General features: G+C 35.2%; 1 protein-coding gene across 1 annotated transcript in view; it reads left to right on the top strand.

The window, feature by feature from the left end:
• USH2A (usherin) overlaps positions 1-21,505 on the top strand; it is an 800,558-nt gene that overhangs the window by 502,960 nt on the left and 276,093 nt on the right. The window contains exons 39-40 of the mRNA NM_206933.4: positions 19,584-19,734; positions 20,272-20,414. Coding sequence (NP_996816.3) covers positions 19,584-19,734; positions 20,272-20,414 — 294 coding nt within the window. The remainder of the gene's footprint in view (positions 1-19,583; positions 19,735-20,271; positions 20,415-21,505) is intronic.

The raw sequence follows: 21,505 nt of genomic DNA, 5'->3' as shown, positions 1-21,505 counted from the left end.
GACATAAAGCATGATATATAAATACAAAATATATGTAAGCTTATCACTATTCAGTTGAAAATTAACCTGTAAACATCTACATTTTTATCTTCTTTGATGATTCCAACAGCTGTCTCTAAAACTAAGTGTAAGGAAACAGCAGACTGGTTGTGGCATATTAAATTATAAGTGAGGACTAATTTGAGGATCAAAGATGCTCTTTGGGAGATATCGCCTGACTAGTAGGAAAAGCATTAGCTGTCTCCCTCTGTCTCATGTATTTGTTCTCTCTGTCTTGGAAATATCCTTCCCCACAGTTTCTGAATCTTGATGTTTAATTGAACACAAAGGTCTTTGAGAAACACAACAGGGGGTTGTTCCTGGTAGTTCTAGCATTGAGGAAATTGAAATGTACATTTTTTTTCTCATTTATCAAAGAAGGGCAAGAATCTAAACTGACATTTTATATCAAATGAATTATGAACTGTGTACTTTGTACCTAAGGGAACAACAACTAAATTAGAGTTTTAGTTAAGAGAGAGAGAGAGACAAAAATAGGCTTTGAATAAAACATACAGTAATTTCTGCTACTGTGCCTGACAGTGACATGGCCAGATACAGTTCTATTGTAGAACTAGTGACTGGATGCAGGCTACTCTGAAATCTTTAAATGTATTTGAGAGACCGTCTCAGAAAAAATTAAACCTAAATTTCTTATGTTGTTAGACTTTATGGTCAGTGAAATAGTCTTGATAATCTAAAGTTAACTTTCAGCTTTTTATCAATGCTTACTTTCTTAAAAAAAATAATAGTTGCAAAGTTTTACTTCTTGAGAAAGTATGAAATTATAGGTTGCTTGAGAGGGAAAATACAATGCAGAATAAAAATAATATATATGAAAATGCCACATTCCATCTCTCCTCTGATTATCTGTAACACCTACACAAATACTACACACTACACTCATATGTTATTGTGCTCATAAAGAGTGTGAATCCTAAGATCAGTGGGACTTGGTTCAAATCTTAATTTCCCCCCTCCTACTAGCTGTAAGAGCTTCGGCAAGTTATACAATCAGAGTCTGCTTTACTTTGTTCTTCTGTAAATGGTAGTAAATAATAAGCACTATCTCACAGGATTGACACTGAGAACTTAATTATGATGATGCCTGCAATAGATACAACGTGATGCAGTACACATAGTAGTTGTTACGTTGCACAGTTGTTTCCTTCCCTATGTGAGAAGATTAGGCAGCAGCAAATTAGAACTCCATTATTTAATGGCTGCTGATTCCTGAAGTATAGGAAGTATTAGAATTAAAATTTTAAGGAGAAGGACCCTATAATGTCTGTGCAATATATCTAATAATCATTTTTTAAATAACCAATTGAAAATTCTTGGGAATTGGGGGTGATTCATGCTTTCTTCTTCTGGACAAAGCTATGTATTGATTACCATATTTTTCTTCACAAATAAGTATTCCAATTTATGCAATATAAAAATAAAAGAAGCGTTATTAATATGAATACATTTGTTTTAGACTTCTAAATCCCCCTAGGTTCATAAACCTAAAAGTGACAAAATTCCTTGATATTAATCCCATATGCTTTCTGATGCCAATGCTATACTGGATAATAATTTTGTGACTAAATTACTAGAAACAAATAACTATCACTGATAGCCTGATTACAAATTTTCTTCATATAATTATTGATCATTGCTGTGGTAAAATGAATATCATAATTTTTATTCTCAAATGTTGATTCTAACTCTACTACTTATAAGGTGAAATCAGTTCTTAGAAGTCTTTCAGCAGTTTAAATTCTGCCAATGACTATTGTTTTATTCTTACTAATAGATAATGTGAAATTAATGGCATGTTGAGGTAAGGGATGCTGTCTTGTCCGTTTAGGCGGCTACAACAAAATACTATAGACTAGGTGCCTTACAAGCAACAGAAAAGTATTTCACACAGTTCTGGAGGCTGGGAAGTCCAGGATCAAGGTGCTGACAGATTCAGTGTCTAGTGAAGGCTCTTCTTCATAGACAGTCATTTTCTTTACTCTAACTTCACATGGCAGAAGGGGTGAGAAGTCTCCCTTGGGTCTCTATTACAAGGGCACTAACCGCATTCATGAGGGCTACAATATCATAACCTGATCACCTCCCAAGGCTCCATCTCCTAATATTATCTCCTTGGCGGTGAGAATTTCAACGTAAGAATTATAGGAGGGACATAGACCATAGCAGACACCCCACATTTAAGTATTTTAATGCTAGATCTAGTTAGTATTTGAGTAATTTAATTAATAAACTTGAATATTATATCCAATCCCGTTGTTACAATGACTTTTATAACCAATCTGCTCTGATTCTTCAATCATTAAATGACTAAATTTTTCTCCACTATTCAAAGATCACTTAATTTCTTGGTATTTGATTGTATCTTAGAATAGTGGATTCAATGGCACCATAGAGGAAGAGTCCAACTCTAAAATATAATGGTTTATTTTCTACACGACCTCAGTCATTTTTTGTTTTGTTTTTGAGAAAGGCTCTCACTTTGACACCCTGGCTAGAGTGTAGTGGCACAGTCACAGCTCACTGCAGCCTCAATCTCCTGGGCTCAAGCAATTGTCCCACCTCAGCATCCTGAGTAGCTGGCAATACAGGCATGCACCACCACATCCAGCTAATTTTGTATTTTTTTTTTTTTTTTTTTTTTTTTTGTAGTGATAGGGTTTCACTATGTTACTCAGACTCGTCTCAAACTCCCGGGCTCAAGCAATCTGCCCATCTCAGCCTCCCAAAATACTGGGATTATAGGTGTGAGCCACTGTACCCAGCCCCTCAGTAATTTATTTTGCTATTTTTCTTGTTGGATACATTCAACAAGGGATAATTTAATGCAGTCTTCCTGAAAAGAGTGGCTTTGACTTGAGCTTGAATTTATTTATTGTTAACCTTGCTAAGCATATCAATTTTTAATTTCACAAAGACTAAATTCTTCAGTGAATTATTTTAAATGAAGTCAATGAGCAATATTAGAATCAAAAATAAAATAGAATTAATTGAACAGTATTGTTGTATATATTTTAAATTATTTTTCCAATTGAAGATATGCTTTAAACAAAGGGCTCAAGCAATCAGGTACTCAAGGAAAAAGAATTTAATCTATGCTGCCTAGAAACTAATTGGATGAATATGATCGTATTCAAAATAATAGGAATGCTAAGAAATGCTCTTAGGAATACTAAGACGAATTCAAATGTCGAAAGCAAAGGCTTAACTAGAGTGTCTAAATGTAGGAAGTCTCTGTAAGGAAAAGGAAAAAAATTTGGTTGGTGGTTTGAGACATAACAAAAAAAAATTCTTCTGGGCATTATGACCACCAACTTCAGGGCCTCTAATTAGTCTGACAAAGTGACAGTTCTACATTCTAGTTGAACAAATAATGTATCTAATGAAATTCAAAATCGCTATTTTTCTCTGAGCACAGTGAGCTGCATCATTCACAGCTTTGGGGTATTTCAAAATTAACAGAGGATGACTTCAGTCTGTCTGATGTTTCTTGGTTAACAAATTCACTGAAATTGTCTTGCAGAGCAATTTTAAGCAATTCTTTAATCTTAAACCACAAAGAGAGGTGGAGGTGGAGGTGTATTACCTTGGTCCTATGGATGCTAATGTGAAGTGGAATCTTTTATTTCTCAAAATGGTCAACAGCAATTAGTATTCAGTGGTGTCTTTTTATTCTGGTGCCCTTGACCCACCTCTGCCCCCCTTTCTATATTACTCCTATTATATACTGTAACTGGGGATATTCTTGCTTCTTTTCCATTCTAATTAAAGCATTCTTAGTGAACATGGGAACCATTTTTCATTTCATGAAGAATAATTACTGGACCTAGGTGAAATCTGCCCATTGGGTTTTATATAATTTTTGACAAATATTTGCACGAATTTTGACTGATCTATTCTTACCATTTCTCCGTGAAATGTTGGAGAAGTTTTCAGTTCCCTCAGAACAATAAACCTAAATATGTACGTGAAAGACCAAGATAAATGTTGTACCACCTTCAGGTTGTATTTGCTAATGTACTTTAAAATATTTTATTTTGTCACTAATATAAGAAATAATGATGACTTTTTAACAATTTTTTTTTTTATTTTTGCACATGTTTCTTTCCTAGTCAGAGTTTGACCTAAATACTCTTCTACTACACTAGTGACAACCTTGAGAAATATCATTTATTTAGGTTGGATCTGTAAAACCTATAGCTCTTGTTATACATCTTGTTTCTTTTTTTTATTTTATTATTATTATACTTTAAGTTTCAGGGTACATGTGCACAATGTGCAGGTTTGTTACACATGTATACATGTGCCATGCTGGTGTGCTATACCCATTAACTCGTCATTTAGCATTAGGTAGATCTCCTAAAGCTATCCCTCCCCCCTCCCCCCACCCCACAACAGTCCCCAGAGTGTGATGTTCCCCTTCATGTGTCCATGTGTTCTCATTGTTCAGTTCCCACCTATGAGTGAGAATATGCGGTGTTTGGTTTTTTGTTGTTGTGATAGTTTATTGAGAATGATGATTTCCAATTTCATCCATGTCCCTACAAAGGACATGAACTCATCCTTTTTTATGGCTGCATAGTATTCCATGGTGTATATGTGCCACATTTTCTTAATCCAGTCTATCATTGTTGGACATTTGGGTTGGTTCCAAGTCTTTGCTATTGTGAATAGTGCCGCAATAAACATATGTGTGCATGTGTCTTTATAGCAGCATGATTTATAGTCCTTTGGGTATATACCCAGTAATGGGATGGCTGGGTCAAATAGTATTTCTAGTTCTAGATCCCTGAGGAATCACCACACTGACTTCCACAATGTTTGAACTCTTGTTTCTTTATTTTTCTCTAGAGTCCTTTCTCAGAGCCAAGGGTGTCTTGACAAGTAAAAGAGAAAAAAGTTACTAAACAGAGAGAAAGAGAGAGTAACAGACTAAGAAAGACAGAGACAATTTCTTCAAACCTCTACTCCAAAAAATCCTCCTCAAAATTTAAACGACACATTTGTTTAAAACCTCAAAATTCTTGCATTCTTTCAAAACACTGAGCTGTTAGATTCTACCAACAGTATCCGCTCTCCAAGTTAGTTCTTTAGGTTCCTGTGTGTTGGATGGGGAAGAGGTAGGGAAAGGAGGCTAGCTACCTTTTATGTCTGTGAGGAAGGGCAAAGGTCTGGTTTGGCTAATTTTAAACAACATTGTTTAAAATAACAGGAACTTGAACTTTGGAGACAGTTGCTAGATTCAAACAGCAGCACAAACCCCTCATTACTTGTGTGGTCTTGTGCAAGTCATTTATGTTATGAAGCTTCAGATTCCTTGACCCACCTACTTCACACCTAGGACTATTAGGAGGATTCAGTGTGATGATACATACAAAGCATTTAGTCCATTGCCTGGTGTACAATAACTGCCCAGCATTAACTCTGACATTGTAGTGTGCTTATGTTTACAAATGAATATCAAGATGTTAGCATTGTTCAAGGGGCAATTAACCAAAGTCATTCATTAAAGTTGTTGAGTTGTTTAATAAACAACTCAATTAACATAAAGACTCTTTACCAAAACTTTGAACTTTGTTCAAATTTCATTCATCCAAAAGCAGTTGCTGAGCTCTTTCTAGCCACCAGGCATAACTCTAGGTCCTGTGCAAAACAGGCTTTTGGAGCAGATGGCGTGCATTCCCTGATGGAACTGAAGGCCCTGGCCACCATTGTGGTGAAGTTCATAACTGCACTTACTGCATGTTCTGGCTGGCTACTTAAGAATTCCCTAAGGAGATATTGGATAGATCAAGGTACTTAGAGCTTGGTTTCACCTTCTAGGGGGAGAAAGGGTTGCTCTTAACAAAAACTAGGACAATAAATTTAAATGTGTTTATAAATAATGATGTAAGACAACTATGTCAATGTTGTTAAAGTTGGCTGTTACTTTTAAGTACAAAATTGCATATTCCTTATTTGGTGGGATTACTGTACATAGTTATTTTTAGAAATCAGAAAAGTTAATTGATTTACTGTGATTCTCTCGTTTTACAAAAATGCAAATTGTTTTATTATATAAGAAGAGTCCATTTTAGACCAAATTCATTCCCATAAAATGAAAACTTCTTGGAAAAACAACAAAAAAGAACTTTTTAAGAAAATGTATTGATTGGTAACTCATGACATTTCTTTTCTGTTTTGCTTTTTGGCTCCTGTGAATCTCAGAAAAAAAAAGTCTGTTGCTACTCAGGAGGCTGAGGCAGAAGAATCGCTCGAACCTAGGAGGCGGAGGTTGCAGTGAGCAGAAATTGCACCACTGCACTCCAGCCTGGGTGACAGAGCGAGACTCTGTCTCAAAAAAAAAAAAAAAAAAAAAAAGTCTGTTGCTTGACAATGGCTAACCTTAGTAGAGGTTTTGTGGTACAGTTCACTGATCTTTTTCCTTCATTATTCAGCTTTGTTTTCTTGAGTTTTATATTAAATGTTTTTAAAAATATTTTGGTAATTATGCAGGTTAATAAATTATAAAGGATATCTATAGTTTTCCCCATCTCTTTCTGGCATTCTAATGACATGAATGCAGATTCCTTATTGATCCATATAAGAATGAGCTCCCAGAAGTGAGTGTAATGGAATCAAGTAGCCAGAAATACTTAGTAATTGGATTGTTTTTCACATTCTGCACTCAACTTTTATGGAAAAAAAAAACTCGAATCAAAGTATATCAATAAGATGATAAATCCATTCATTCCTTTTCAGTATCCAGTCCAGTCCATTTACCAGGGAGTAGCCACCACCATCTGTGCCTCAATATTTTCAAACTAAACAACAATTGTAGTTTCTGTGCTTAAAATATTGATGGAATTAGTGATTCCCCATCTCCTTCGTATACATTTCAGACTCTTTATCTGTCCTACAAGACCAGTGTCTCCCACCCTTGCTGCCTTGCTTTTAATTCCTCAAACAGTGAGATCACCATAGAGCTTCCGGCCCATAACAGGTCAGCAAAGTCTTAGTCATTTAACAGGTCCAAACTTAAATACCACTTCCTTAGAAAGCCTTTCTTCTTTCAACCAAAATTAAGTCGGCCCCCTTTAATGATACCTCTTAGCACCTCTGTTCTCCCTCCTAGCACTTTGTGTACATTTTAACTACATATTGCTTTCTATTTGTTTGATGCCAGTCTTGCTCCACTTGACAATATTCTCATGCCCATAATGGTGTGACTCTGGCTAGTTTGTTCTTCATTATGCACCCATCACCTGGCACGATGCCTGGCAAGGGAGTAAAGGAGGATGGGTAGATCAGTTTTTCAGGGAATATAAAAATGACAGCACAGTTTTATCACAAATGTTTAATCTTTCTGTATTTCCATATTTATAGCTTGGAGATTGCATAGTAAACAGGAAAGAGGATGAGGTTTTGAATCAAAATTCTCATGTTTGAATCCCAGCCTGGCACTTAGCACAATCACAAAGAACTGTAGGAGGAATGCAATACTCACATCATCTAATTCATGGTATGGCTGCAAGGCCAAATGAGAAAAATGGAGATGCATTCAAAAGGTGAGAGCTACATGAGAATTCATGAACACAAAGAAGGGAAAAACAGACACAGGGCCTACTCGAGGGTGAAGGGTGGGAAGATGGAGAGGAACAGAAAAAATAACCTTTGGGTACTAAGCTTATTACCTGGGTGATGAAATAATCTGTACACTAAACCCCCATGACTTCAGTTTACCTACATAACAAACCTGCACATGTACCCCTGAACCTAAAATAAAAGTTTTTTAAAAAGTAATTGAAATGTTCGTAACTCAAAGGATAAATGCTTGCGGGGATGGATACCCCATTCTCCATTGTGTGACTAGTTCACTTTGCATATCTGTATGAAAACATCTAATGTACTTCATATATATATATATATATATACACGTATATATATATATATATACACATATATATATATACGTATATATATATATATATATATACACATACCTACTACCTACCCTCAAAAATTCTTAGAAATTTTTTTAAAGAATAAAATTAGACCCCTATCTCTCACCATGTACAAAAATAAAATCAAAATTGGTTGAAAACTTAAGTCGAAGACTTCAAACTATCAAGTTACTACAAGAAAACATTGGGGAAAATCTATAGGACATAGGTCTGGGCAAAGATTTCTTGAGCAATATCCCACAAGCACAGGCAACCAAGGCAAACATAGGCAAATGGGATCACATAGGTTAAAAATCTTCTGTACAGCAAAGGATGCAATCAACGAAGTGAAGGAACACCCCACAGAATGGAAGAAAGTATTTGCCAACTATCCCTCTGACAAGGGATTAATCACCAGAATATATAACAACTCTATAGGAAAAAAACTAATAATCCAATCAAAAAATCAGCAAAATATTTGAATAGACATTTCTCAAAAGAAGACATACAAATGGCAGTCATATGAAAAGGTGCTCAGCATCATCAATTATCAGAGAAATGCAAATCAAAACTATAATGAGATTTCATCTCACCCCAGTTAAAATGGCTTATGTCCAAAAAACAGGCAATAAATAACAAAAGCTGTCAAGGATGTGGAGAAAGGGAACCCTTGTACCCTGCTGGTAGGAATGTAAATTAGTACAACCACTATGGAGAACCATTTGGAGGTTTCTCAAAAAACTAAAAATTGAGCTACCATATGACTCAGCAATCCCATTGCTGGGCATACACCCAAAAGAAAGGAAATCAGTATGTTGAAGAAATATCTTCATTCCTATGTTTGTTTCAGCACTGTTTACAATAGCCAAGATTTGGAAGCAACCTAAGTTGCATCCATCAGCAGATGGATGGATAAACAAAATGTGGTACATATATACAATGGAGTACTATTCAGCCGTAGAAAAGAATGAGATCCAGTCATTTGCAAGAATTTGGATGGAACTGGAGATTATTACATTAGATGAAATAAGCCTGGCACAGAAAGACAAATGTGGCATGTTCTCATTTATCTGTGGGATCTAAAAATCAAAGCAATTGAACTCATGGGTTTAGAGAGTAGAAGGATGGTTACCAGAGGCTGGGAAGAGTAGTGGAGGGTTGGGGAGAGGAGGGGATGCTTAATGGGTTAAAAAAATAGAATGAATGCATAAGACCTACTATTTGATAGCACAATAAGGTGATTATAGTCAATAATAACTTAAGCGTATATTTTTAAATAACTTAAAAAATGTAATTAGATTGTTTGTAACTCAAAGGATAAATTCTTGAGGGGATGGATACCCCATTCTCCATGATGTGCTTGTTTCACATTGCATGCCTGTATCAAAACATCTCATGTGCCCCAATAAATATACCTCCTATATGCCACAAATTAAAAAAAAATTAAAAAATTAAGAAAAAAATTGTTCTCAAGTGATTAAAACTAAGATGGCTGGGTAATTTAAGCTCTGTATTGGGTATAAGCAGAACATACTTTTTCTAAACCTTGTGAATTTTTTAAGTGGTTACAAAATATTATAGGATCAGACTTTGTAATTTCATAAATATTATTATTACAAATAATGTATCCAGAGCGATCTCAATTATGAAGTCATCAAGGATGGGTAAGAAAATTACAGAGAGAAGCAATAAATCTGAATGTACAGTGCTTATCTTCAAGTAACTTAAAAGGAACTATGAACAAATGTTCATAGTTTTTTGGGATACATTAAATGACTTAGTGATACTTAAGAAGATACTTTGATTGATGTTACTAAGAAATAATAAATGAGTAAAGCATGATTGTAGTTATGGTGTGAGTAATGATATGACAGGATCATGTGATAGACATTGGGGGTAAGATAAAGATCATAACAATAGCAAACACTTATATAGTACTTATGATGTGTACTTTATTATATTATGTATATATTATATTGTGTAACCACTTGATACATTAACTTATTTAATCCTCCCAACCACACTCTATGAAATATATACCATCTTAATCTTTCTTTCGTTGATGAAGAAACTGGGGCACATAGAGATTTTGGTACTTGCTCAGTAAGTAGCACAATCAGGATTTGAACCCAGATAAGTTGGCTCTTAACCAATACACAGATCTGCCTCTTTTGTGATTTAATCAAAATAAACTCTAAATAAAGACATTACAATAAAGACATTAATTAGCTGCTAATCAGCTAATTAAGTTAAAAATGTAAAAAGTGCTAATTGAACATAAAGGAGAGTGACAAAAGTGTGAAATGTTCAGGATTATCTAATATAATAAAAAGCTTATCAAAGGTAAAAAAGTTTTCATTGGAAAAGATTCATGAACAAGCATTCTAGAAATTAAGAAATGGTAAATGGCCAATAAGCATGTTGTAAATATTTCAATCATAGTCTTTTGGTTTTCAGTGCTATCTATAGACTGACACCTTCCTTATGTATATGCTCAGGCCTAAACACATGAACTCCAGTCCCCCGTAGTCAATGGCCTTCTAAAAATATCTTAGGCAATCCAGAACCAACAAATTTTTTTTCTTCCTACACCAAGTGTCCCTCCCTTAGACCAGAAGCTTAGGAGTCAAGCATCCTTCTTTCATTCTCTACATCCCTACATCTGTTCCATCACCAAATCCTCTATGAACAATACTTTCCAGACTCACGTCAATGAGGCTTCTGCCTTGGGTCTGCTTCATTTGTGCTTCTCCCAGTGATCTGCAAATCTCAACTCAGATAAAACCTCATCAGAGATGCCTTCCCTGCCTATCGCATCTAACATGCTAACTTTGCTCCACTCCCTCCCTCATCACTCTCAATGCCCTTATATTAGAAATGCTTCTTTTTTTCTCATTAAATGTTAGTAGACTTTATTTTTAAGAGCAGCTTTAGGTTCACAGCAACATCGGGCAGAAGGTGCAGAGTTCCCATTTATCCTTGCCTCCACACGTGTATACCCTTACCCATTATCATCCTCTTCCACAGAGTGGACCTCCACTGACATGTTTTTATTACCCAAAGTCCATAGTATACACTAAGATTCGCTCTTGGTGTTGTACATCCTATGGCTTTAGGCTAATATATAATGACATGTACTTACCATTATAGTGTCATATGAAGTAGCTTCACTGCTCTGAAAAGCCTCCGTGTTCCATCTATTCATTCATACAGCCCTCCCCCAACCCCTGGCAAACTCTGATCACTTTTTATCGTCTCTATAGTTTTGCCTTTATCTTTTTTTGTCTTTCATCTCACCCCTCTTAATAAAAACCATTTTAATTTGTTCATTACTATATTCCCAGGTTATGGAATAGTGCTAGGCATATAATAGATGACTTTTAAATAGCTGCTGAGTTAATGAATTATTATATATATACACACACATACATTATATCAGTCATATGTAATTATATACAAATTATATGACATGTAGATATATAATATATTTAATGATATACTTGTATTATTATTATATATGTATATATAGATATATATAGGCATTATATAAAATACTCATTTTGATGGGGATACTGGGAAGTGGACCACTCATATCTTAGTGATGGTAGTATAAATTCAATGTTCTGGAAAACAATTAGTCAACTAATATCTGAAATAGTAGAGCATTCATCAACGTTTACCCGATAACTCTAAAAAGTGTCCCTAAAGATGCATCATTCTGTATCCATCAATGTCAGCTTTGTTAAGTGAATGTTCCACATCTATAAAAATAGTACATGCAATTATTTGAAAAGTTATGCTACCAAAAATACTGACTGGCATATATAGTAAAGCAAATAAAGTTTACTAAATAATATGTAAGTATTCATCTTAATGTTTTTCTTAATTATGTGCACATATATTTGTATAGAAAAAAGACAGGAAAGATTATCTATAATAATTTTACCATGGCTATCTCTGGGTAGTGTAATTATGGATCATTGTTTTCTTCATTTGTTTTATAATCTTTAAAGTTTATATCATAAACATATTTGTACTTAGGAAAATACAGATAGTACTTTTAAAAGAGTTCTGTTTAGTTCTCCAAGAACTAAATTTTATCATTTGTTTAATAAGTATTTCATGAGCAATACTAAACTCTCAAAATTTGTTAAGTGCTCTGAAGTTTACAAAGATAAATAAAAAGCATATCTGCTCTCAAATGGTTTATGTTATCATTACCTTGGTTTATCATGGGACAAAGCAATAATTAGACTTAAATTTAAAATTTAATGGGGTTTTGGGAGATGAACTATGGTCTTGAAAACAAAAGGGACATGTATGAAACCACAGGTTTCTATCTACTATTCATTGAGACGTTGCTTAGCCTTTTCTAAACTCAGTTTTTATATCTGTGAAATAAGAACATTGAGAGAAACGAATGATAAAATGAATGTACTCTAAAGTAGTATTTCAGATTTCATTTGATAATACCTCCAAGCAATTAATCTCACTTATGTTAAAAATATTTTTCACATTTTTTTGTAATTTATTTGTAAATAGAAAATATGTTCGGGATTCTAACAATTGTTGGGATAATGACAGAAATAATTTTCTCTGCAGATCTTTCCCCCATCAACTCATCCATCTTTCCCCCATCAACTCATCCATCTTTCCAACCATTGATTCATCCATCCATTCATCCAGTTTTTATAGGATCTTTCCTAGACAAAGCACTGTGTTGGGCACCATGGTATCTCTTTAATTACTTTTCTCCTTTAACAGTCCTTTAAGACTATGTATACATTAGAAAATAATTAATCTGGTATGGTCAGCTATCTATATGACCATTTTGAGTCAGCTACATAGCTGATATGAATGAACTTGATGAACTCCAATATTAAGCAGGCCAAAATTAAGATGCTCAGTGAAGTTTCAGCAGCATCACTTGAAGAAAGGAAAGTCAGTGCCTTCCTGTGTTGGGCTGTGGCCCAAACACACAAGGAGTGTAAGTTTAAAAGGCATTCTCAAACTGGAACACATCCAAATCAGTTAACAAGGCTAGAAGATGGTTGAGAAAACATACTATATGGAAACTAGTTGGAGAGAACAGAGATGTTTAACCTGAAATGGGGAAATTTAGTGGAAAGGAAGGCAAATGCTTAAAAATACCTGAGGTTCTAGCCCACGAATGGTACCAGAGGCTTGCTCTCAGGGATTAGAGGTAAGGTTCTAAGGAGTTCAGTGTTGTTAGCATGACCAACCATATGCACTTTTTGCCCAAGATAGTCCCAGTTTATGCCTGCTGCATGCAGCTCAGTTCACTCCTATTAATTACTTAGAGTGCCCCATTTCACTCAGAATGTCTCAATGTGAACAAAAGGTTATATTTGCCCTAAGTTTTGTAGAACCCATACAATTCTTTGTTCTACATCAGAAAGAGCTTTCCAATGATAAAGACTATTCAATAATGTGATGGGACAACTTGCCAAGTGACTATTTTCCTGTCACTGGTAAGGCACAAGCAGAGACCTGGGGTCACCTGTCTGGGATGTTCTAGGTAAGGATTCCTTATTTGGTGAGAGGATAAAGTTGGTGACTTTTAAGTTTTCTGCCTTCTGATTTTAAGATTCTGTTGTTTTGTTTTTGAATATTCTATGGTCAAATATCAGTTCCATGACATACCTACGAAAACACAATTTTTAAAATATACTCTTTCTCTCGCTAACATGAAGACTTCTCCATTTTACATTTCATTGAATTTCTGTGGATGTTGACTAATTCTGGAGATGTGGCAAATTCATACTAGTAGTTCTGTGTGTGATACCTTGTGGAATGATGGGAATCCCTGCTATGATAAAGAAATAAGACCGGGAGGTACTGTTTAAGAATATGACCTGGACAGAAAATAAATCCAACATTTATTGAAATTTGTTTATTTAATATTGTAAATGGTTTGCTTTTATATAGATTTAATATATTTAATAGTTATTCTATATTATAAATCATTCACTATAGCAGGCTGTTTCAGGGTGTAAAATTAAGAGCGCACTGCCTTTGAACTTAAACGGCCCATGTTAGAATCCTCAGTGTGCCAGTTACATCAGTTCTGCGATTTGAAATGAAATATTTAACTTCTCTCTGAGCCTCACCTTATTCCGTATATCCTACAAAGAGAAAACACTACAATTTTGGAGTGTAATTCTGAGGATTAGAAATAATTATGTTAAATAACCTTGTACACAGTATGCTTTCAAAAAGTTCGCTCTGGTGAAAGACTGTTTTGTGAACATGAAATCTATTTTAACCTACTTGTCACTATTTAATGCTGCTCTGTTTGTGCATCCTTGTGTTCAAGGTTGACTGTCCATTTGTTAGCACATCTGCATATTCCTCATAATTAATATCTTTTTAAATGACATATGGTTTAGTGACTGGAAATCGAGTCTTGCCTTCTGTTTTCAATTTGTTCATGACTCAATGACTCAATATATGTGTCTGAACTTTAATTTTCCATTCTGGAAAGTAGAATTTAAAACCCTTGCTCATATGTAGCTATTTCGGAAAATGATGAAGAAATGTGTAATCCAAGGATTTTGAATATGTGCCAGGCTATTCAGCGATGCAGCATATAGGTAAAAGGCCGCAGTTTCTCTAATGTTAACAGAGAAGCCTAAATGAGAATGCCAAAAATGTAATCCCTGAAGTGAGGGGATAATTTGGGGTAGGCTAGAGTCAGATTCCTAGTGAATTAGCAAGAAGCACCACATCTAAATGGAATGAGCACAGGAAGAGTTGGTGGGAGCCCTAGGGAATGAGGCTGAGAACATCATTAACCTGGATGAACAACTGATAGTACCCCCAGGGCAGTGCTTCTGCAAGCCAGGGATCTCTGAAAGACAAGGCCCAGTGCACCCCTGGAAGTGAGTTTCTAACTTCCGAGTCCCCCGTAGCATTTATACCTCTTTTGTGCTGAGTACTCTTTTTTTGGTGATACAGTTATTTGAGTCAGGTCTAATCTGTTAAACATAAAGTAGATTATTTGATTCCGCCTTCTACCTATTCTGCCCTTTCCCTGCCTCTAACAAGAACCTTGTGCAGAGTGGTATTCAGTGTCTTGTATTATAGAATTGAATTTGATACAAAATATTACAGGCTTATTTGATATTTTAATGCAGCATTTTATTTCACTATTTTGAAATGCACACACACAGGCAAAAAACAAAACACACCTCAAAAGTAACATGTTGGTGGGATGTCCTGAGAAAGAATTCAGTGCATATGGAAAGCACAGTGAATTCATTTTCTCCCTAAAATATTCTTCTTCTTGTCCCCACAGACTTGGTAGCCACCAACTACGTTTGTAAAGCCTCTGTTTTTGCCTTTGAGAGCTCACTCCCAGAGTTTTATAAATCTGCAGGGAGCAAAGGTTTAGGACATGTGTAAATAAATCATTTTATATTTTTTCGTTTGTTTTATTTTGTTTTGTTTTCTTAGAGAAGTTTAGGACATGTATAAGTCATTGTCTATTTGGTGTTTTGTTTTCTTTTGTTTTTCATATAGATGAGAGTCCAGTGGCGTATATCATTTTTAAAGTTTAATAAAATTATACATTCAAAAGATTATACCATCTCAATTATTCCAATCTGTGATTTAATTTATTGCTTAATGTTTTGTATGAATTTGATTTTCTGAAGCAGGTTAAATTTGAAATTTTATTAAAAACCCACTTCCTTTGAGTTTATAGATTGGGATAGCTGTTTTATCTAGTCGCTGTGTAGAATTAGTATTTACTGGACAAGATGTGTTGATTCAGGAGGTTGTCTTGGAGTGTTTGCCCCGTGAGGGTCATATTAAACTTGAGAGAAGTTCTTTGAGCAACAGAGCATCTTGGAGACAATATATCAAGCTGATGGATACAGGGCTCTTCTGTTAAGAAACCAGCAGTGGAATTATGGCTGGCTCCCAGTTATTGCTTTGGTGCTAAGGAGCCTCTAAGGATTAAATCTAGGATAAAAGGGGTTAAACAGAGGGGAAAGGAAGGTTTCCAGAATTCAGTGTTACTGGAAGCATACAGAATGAGTAGTTATATACAAATAATTTAAGATGACCATTCTGTTTGGAAATATTTCACAATTTAATATATTCAAAGTGTACCAATTTAGTGGAGCATATTGTTTTGTTATTACTCAGAAGAGAATTCGTGACATCTTATTATTATTATAAAGCCTACTTTGGGGCACTTCTTCCTACTGTCTTAATAGAAAGGTAATGTAGTTTTTAACACATAAGGGGTTTTGTGTGCATATTAAAAACTAATTTTTTCAGGGCTAATGACTTGAAATTCAGAATTTGGATTTTCAATTACATTATACTCCTTGATGTAGAAAAATTAGACAAAAATAATCAAAAGAGAGACATGGTTTTATATGTTATACATTGTATGCATTTTGCACTTTATTTTTTGCCTGTGTTTTCACAGTGCTCTTTTTTCTATGTATGCACTTATTATAAATCAATTAAAGTATATATGTCAAATAAATTATGATTGTTAAAAACCATTTGTGTTCATAGATAAAAATATCAATTAAAAAGCCTTTAGCAATGAATGTCCTTCAAACCAAAAATGTGAAGGTAAGAAGTGGATAGTTGGCCCTGGACAGCAATCTTCTTGCACTTTCTAGTCATGCCACACTTTTACTAATTGAGAGAATTATTTCATATCATTTCCTCTTTCTTCAAGCCTCCATTTCATCCACCCAATTTGTCACTGAGCCTTTGCTTTTATTTTGCTCACTAAGAAACTGCGCATCATCAAAGGAGATCTTTGCTATTATTCCATCACTGAATCTACTCACTGCTCTACATCTTCATCTGTGCATTCACTTTTGCACAATGGGAGAACTATCCCTGCTCTGTTTGGCAGCCAGTGTGCACTGACTCTCAGTTGATTCAAATGTGCACTGGCTCACCTCTCTCTTCCCACACTAGGACTTTGCTCTGGCAATTCTTTCTTTTACGGTATCATTTCCCCTAATCTGTGTTAGATTCTTCCAACAAACATGCCTATATGCTGCAACATCTTCCAGTCTTTAGAAAACCTTCCTTTGATATCATGAGCTTTTCTAGCTGCTGCCCCATTTTCTAATCCCTTTTAGAATAAATTCCCTCTAAGTGTTGTCTAAGCTCACTGTATCTGCCCTTTACCCCCTCGTTGTCTTCACAACCTTAGCTCAGACTGCTATGCCCAGCACTGCACTGCATCTGCTCTTTGCAAAGTTATCAAATATCTGCACTTGGCCAAATGCAAAGTTTCAACTCCCAGTCTTCTTCCTCCTTAAACTCTCAGCCGAGTTGATACAGCTGATACGTTCTTCCTTTTTCATGTGCCTTCTTTCTTTACTCGGCTTCCAGTCTGCACCTTCTCAGTTTTTCTCCTACCTCACTGACCATTCCTTCTCAGTATCCTTTCCTAGAGAGGCCTCCTCCTGACCTCAACATTTTGGTGGATTCCAGGGCTTGGTTCTCAGACCTCTTCTATACTCATTCTATCAACACTCACTTCCTAGTTTATTTCACCATCTCAGCCTTTAAAGATCACATATATGCTGACCTACAACTCCTATGAAGGCTACAACTCCTATGAAGACTTTTCCTCTCCCTCTCCTCCTTAGTCCGTGTTAGCCACACTGTTCCTTAAACACAACCAGAATGTTTTCCTCCTTACTGCCTTTGAATGTACTGCTATCTCTGGCTGGATTACTCTTCCTCCAGACATTCGGATGGCTACCTCCCTCATGCCAGTGAAGTCTCTGTTCAAATATCACTGAATTGCATTTTCTTCCTATAATCTTCCCATCGAATTGAAGTTGTTACCTAGTAACTAAAACTGCCCAATTCTTTTTACCTTCTCTTTCCTTACACTGCTTTATTTTTCTACAAAGCACTTATGGCCACCTGGTATTATTGTATACACAGTATTCATTTGTTTACCACCTGCTCCCTCCACTTGAATGTAAGCTACCTAGGGGCAGGAGTGGTGTCTATTTTATTCAGTGCTGTTCTTCTTCCACATGAAGAGTACTGCTTAGCACAGAGTGGAGCCTTAATAAATGTTTATTGAACAAATGAATGAATTATTAATGAACTCAAACCCATTACAGCAGATTGATGAAACATGTAATCTAATTCTTCTGTTCTCATCACTGGTCATTCATTAGCCTCATTGTTCACAGACAGCTTCTTCTGAATTGGAGAGTATGTAAAATTGACACACTACACAAGGTTATGTATAAAATAAAGTTGAAAATGGACCCTGATATTTCATTTGTTCTCATTATTTTGATCACTTCTCCTTCTTCACCAATGGCCTCTGGTAATTTGTGGTCATTAGGAACCTATATTACAATAATCAGAATGTTCCCAACAAAGTATATTATACTAGCAATTAAATTATGCTAAAGAAAGTTCAGGTCAGTCCAATGTAATAATAGTAATAATAGTTAGTGACTAATAATTACCAGGGTCTAAAATCAGGTGCTTTATTTATATGATCTCTGAACTTCACAACAATTCTATAAAGGAAAAATATTATACCTACTTTAGAGATCAGAAAATATAGGCTCGGAGTCATTAGGTCATTTTCCTAAAGGCAGAGTTTTGCTGAATTTGCTTTCAAGTTTCTGAATAGCTTTGGAACAAACTGATATGATTTGGAACAAGCTGATATGACAGGCTCATTTGAGTTATACCAGTTGGAAAAAATTAATTAAATAACCAGAGTCATCTTATCAACTTTTTTTAGTAGAATAGGCTTTAGTTTTACACATTCCTGTTAGGCCTTCTAGAACCATTCAAAGAGATTTCCCTGGTAGATTGTACCAAGCAGGTATGTTGAAGTCAGAACAGATTTGCCGGAGACTCAACTAGACTAGAAAAAGTGGTATGCATGTTCCAACTTGCAAAATTGAGTAAGGGCAGGAGAAGGGATAACTCTGAGAAGGGTAATTGTATAAAACACATAGGGAAAAAAGTTTACTTTTTATATTTTCATGGGTGAGCATTAAGGCTGGAATACACTGTATTCAGCCATTCATGTTTATTTATCATTCCAGAAAAATACAATTTTAGCTAACTTCCCTTCCTCCAAAAAAAAAAAGAAAGGAAAAGAAAGCCATTGTGTTCACATGTAGTGGTGTGATTAAGGCAGCAATGGATGATATCGGGGGGAAGAATATGAGATCTGGACTGCTTCAGTGTTCAATTGTTTGGTCTGTTGAACAAAGAGTTAAATGAAAAAGGTACTTTAATATTTGCTTCACTAAATTCCCTCCATGTTTTCAATTAGATAAACAGAAGTACAGGTGGGAATGTGCTGCATATTCATTTGTCTTGCTGTTTGGGGGCCGGCTTTTAAGACTGAAATACTAATGTAATTGTGTTGAAATGAACAATAAGGAAGTACAGGAGTTCAGGAATGAAAATGTTAAATTAAATGGACCATGTTTAACATTGTTGTTGATCCTGAGGAACAGTTTTTCCAGTATATGGAGCATTTCGATTCCATCCAGCATATGTTCTCCACAGTTTTCTCTGCTCTAATTCATCTGTGTTTTTCGACAGCTCCAGATGGCGTGCTGCCTCCCAGGCTTTCATCTGCCACTCCAACCAGTCTTCAGGTTGTCTGGTCTACACCAGCTCGTAATAACGCTCCTGGCTCTCCCAGATACCAACTCCAGATGAGGTCTGGCGACTCCACCCATGGATTTCTAGAGTGAGCATTCTACTTTGTCCATTCTATCAGCTGGGTTATACAATATAGACATAACATTTTTGAAGAGTAGGTCAGTTCTCATTTGCAAAAAATATAGGTTACCTTTTAAAAGTACAAAAAAACCCCAAACAATTAGAGGATAATCATTTGCTTTGCAAAAATATCTATTTTTCATTTATGTAGCATTTAAAGTAGGATTTCTTCCCACTGAAACTTTTCATGAGCACATGCATTACATAAAGCAATGAAACTAACAAAATGATGTCTGAACTGTCGCTAACAAATTATAATACCTATTCTACAAATCCACATGGCAGTCAGTCTCAATACTACTAGGATTTACATCTCGTATAAACACAAGATTACAGACTCAGCCAATGGCTACTTATTTTAAAAGAGATCTCATTTGATGGCAGAAAATTACAATACTTAAATGTATGTTGACATCCTCTAAAATTTTTTTGTAGTAAGAAATTTACTTGCTTTTATTTCTTTGAATGTCGAAAACTTCCTAATTGACATTTATTTCCCATACAGGTTATTTTCCAATCCTTCTGCATCGTTAAGCTATGAAGTGAGTGATCTCCAACCGTACACAGAGTATATGTTTCGGTTGGTTGCCTCCAATGGATTTGGCAGTGCACATAGTTCTTGGATTCCATTCATGACCGCAGAGGACAGTAAGTGGTCTGAACAATACACAGCCAAATGTCTTCTACATAGGGAGCTTAAAATGTCTTCAATTTTTTCCAAAGCAAAGAAATGAGCCTCCCTTATTTACTTGTTGTTTAGTGACAATAACCTTTTCTAGGGCAAGAGAGTGAGCAAAGGTGGTCAGTCTCTCCAGAAAGAAGAATAATGTGGTCTTGGAGGGTTGGAGGGTTAGGCCTACAGACAGGACAAAGTAATTCACTATAAATTATGATATGGCCCCATTCTATCCTTCAGGGTACATCTTAGCGCCCTGCAAGAGAAAGGTTGTCATCTTCTGCTTTATGACTGAATGTTCTCTGTTTCGGAGAAATTCTGGCAGGCAGAAGAAAATGAAATATGGACCTTACTTCATGAGGCTGCTTACATATACTTGTTCCTGGAAACAGGTTTCATTTTCCTGCTTCTACTCATACCCCAAAGACAGCCTTCAGCATAGAGAAGTATAATCTGATAGCAGTATATTACAAAAGGTGGATTAAGATTTCTTTATTCAACCAATAAAGAGAATTTTCTAGTTGTTCACTAAAAAGTTATTTTTGCATATATTTGCTAGATTATATTTGGGAATAAATACATGACTATAACATTTGGTTTTATACAAATTACCTCTATAAAAGCATATATATGAAAGTAGAGGGGTTTTTAAAGAAAAGTTAGAAATTAAATCAAGCTACACAGAGTGAATAAGGACATTGTATCTTTGAACAGTTAGGTTTTTTGAGTTAATCTTGTGAAGTCTTTTAATCATAGGCTTCTTAGGCAATGTTCTCTGCTGGCCCATTGCCATGCTGGCTCTATATCCAATGAGAACGTTAAGTGACTTTCAAAAGCCTAGATATTAACACAAAAGTATGGTATTTGCAACAATATCAATTGTTTATTAAATGTATTGTTTTATTTCTATAATACCTTTAATTGCATTATTTTAGTGAAGATAAGACATCAAATTAGACATTATCAGTACAATCTATCTTGTTTAAAGTTGACTTTATTTTTACAAAAAAAAGCCACCTTTATGAGCAATAATGTATGTTACTTAATTCATTTCTTCCAATTC

This window comes from Homo sapiens, chromosome 1, assembly GCF_000001405.40.
Source record: "Homo sapiens chromosome 1, GRCh38.p14 Primary Assembly".
Lineage (NCBI taxonomy): Eukaryota > Metazoa > Chordata > Mammalia > Primates > Hominidae > Homo > Homo sapiens.
Note: the sequence above shows the minus strand (reverse complement) of the source record. Positions and strands in the feature narration are given on the sequence as shown.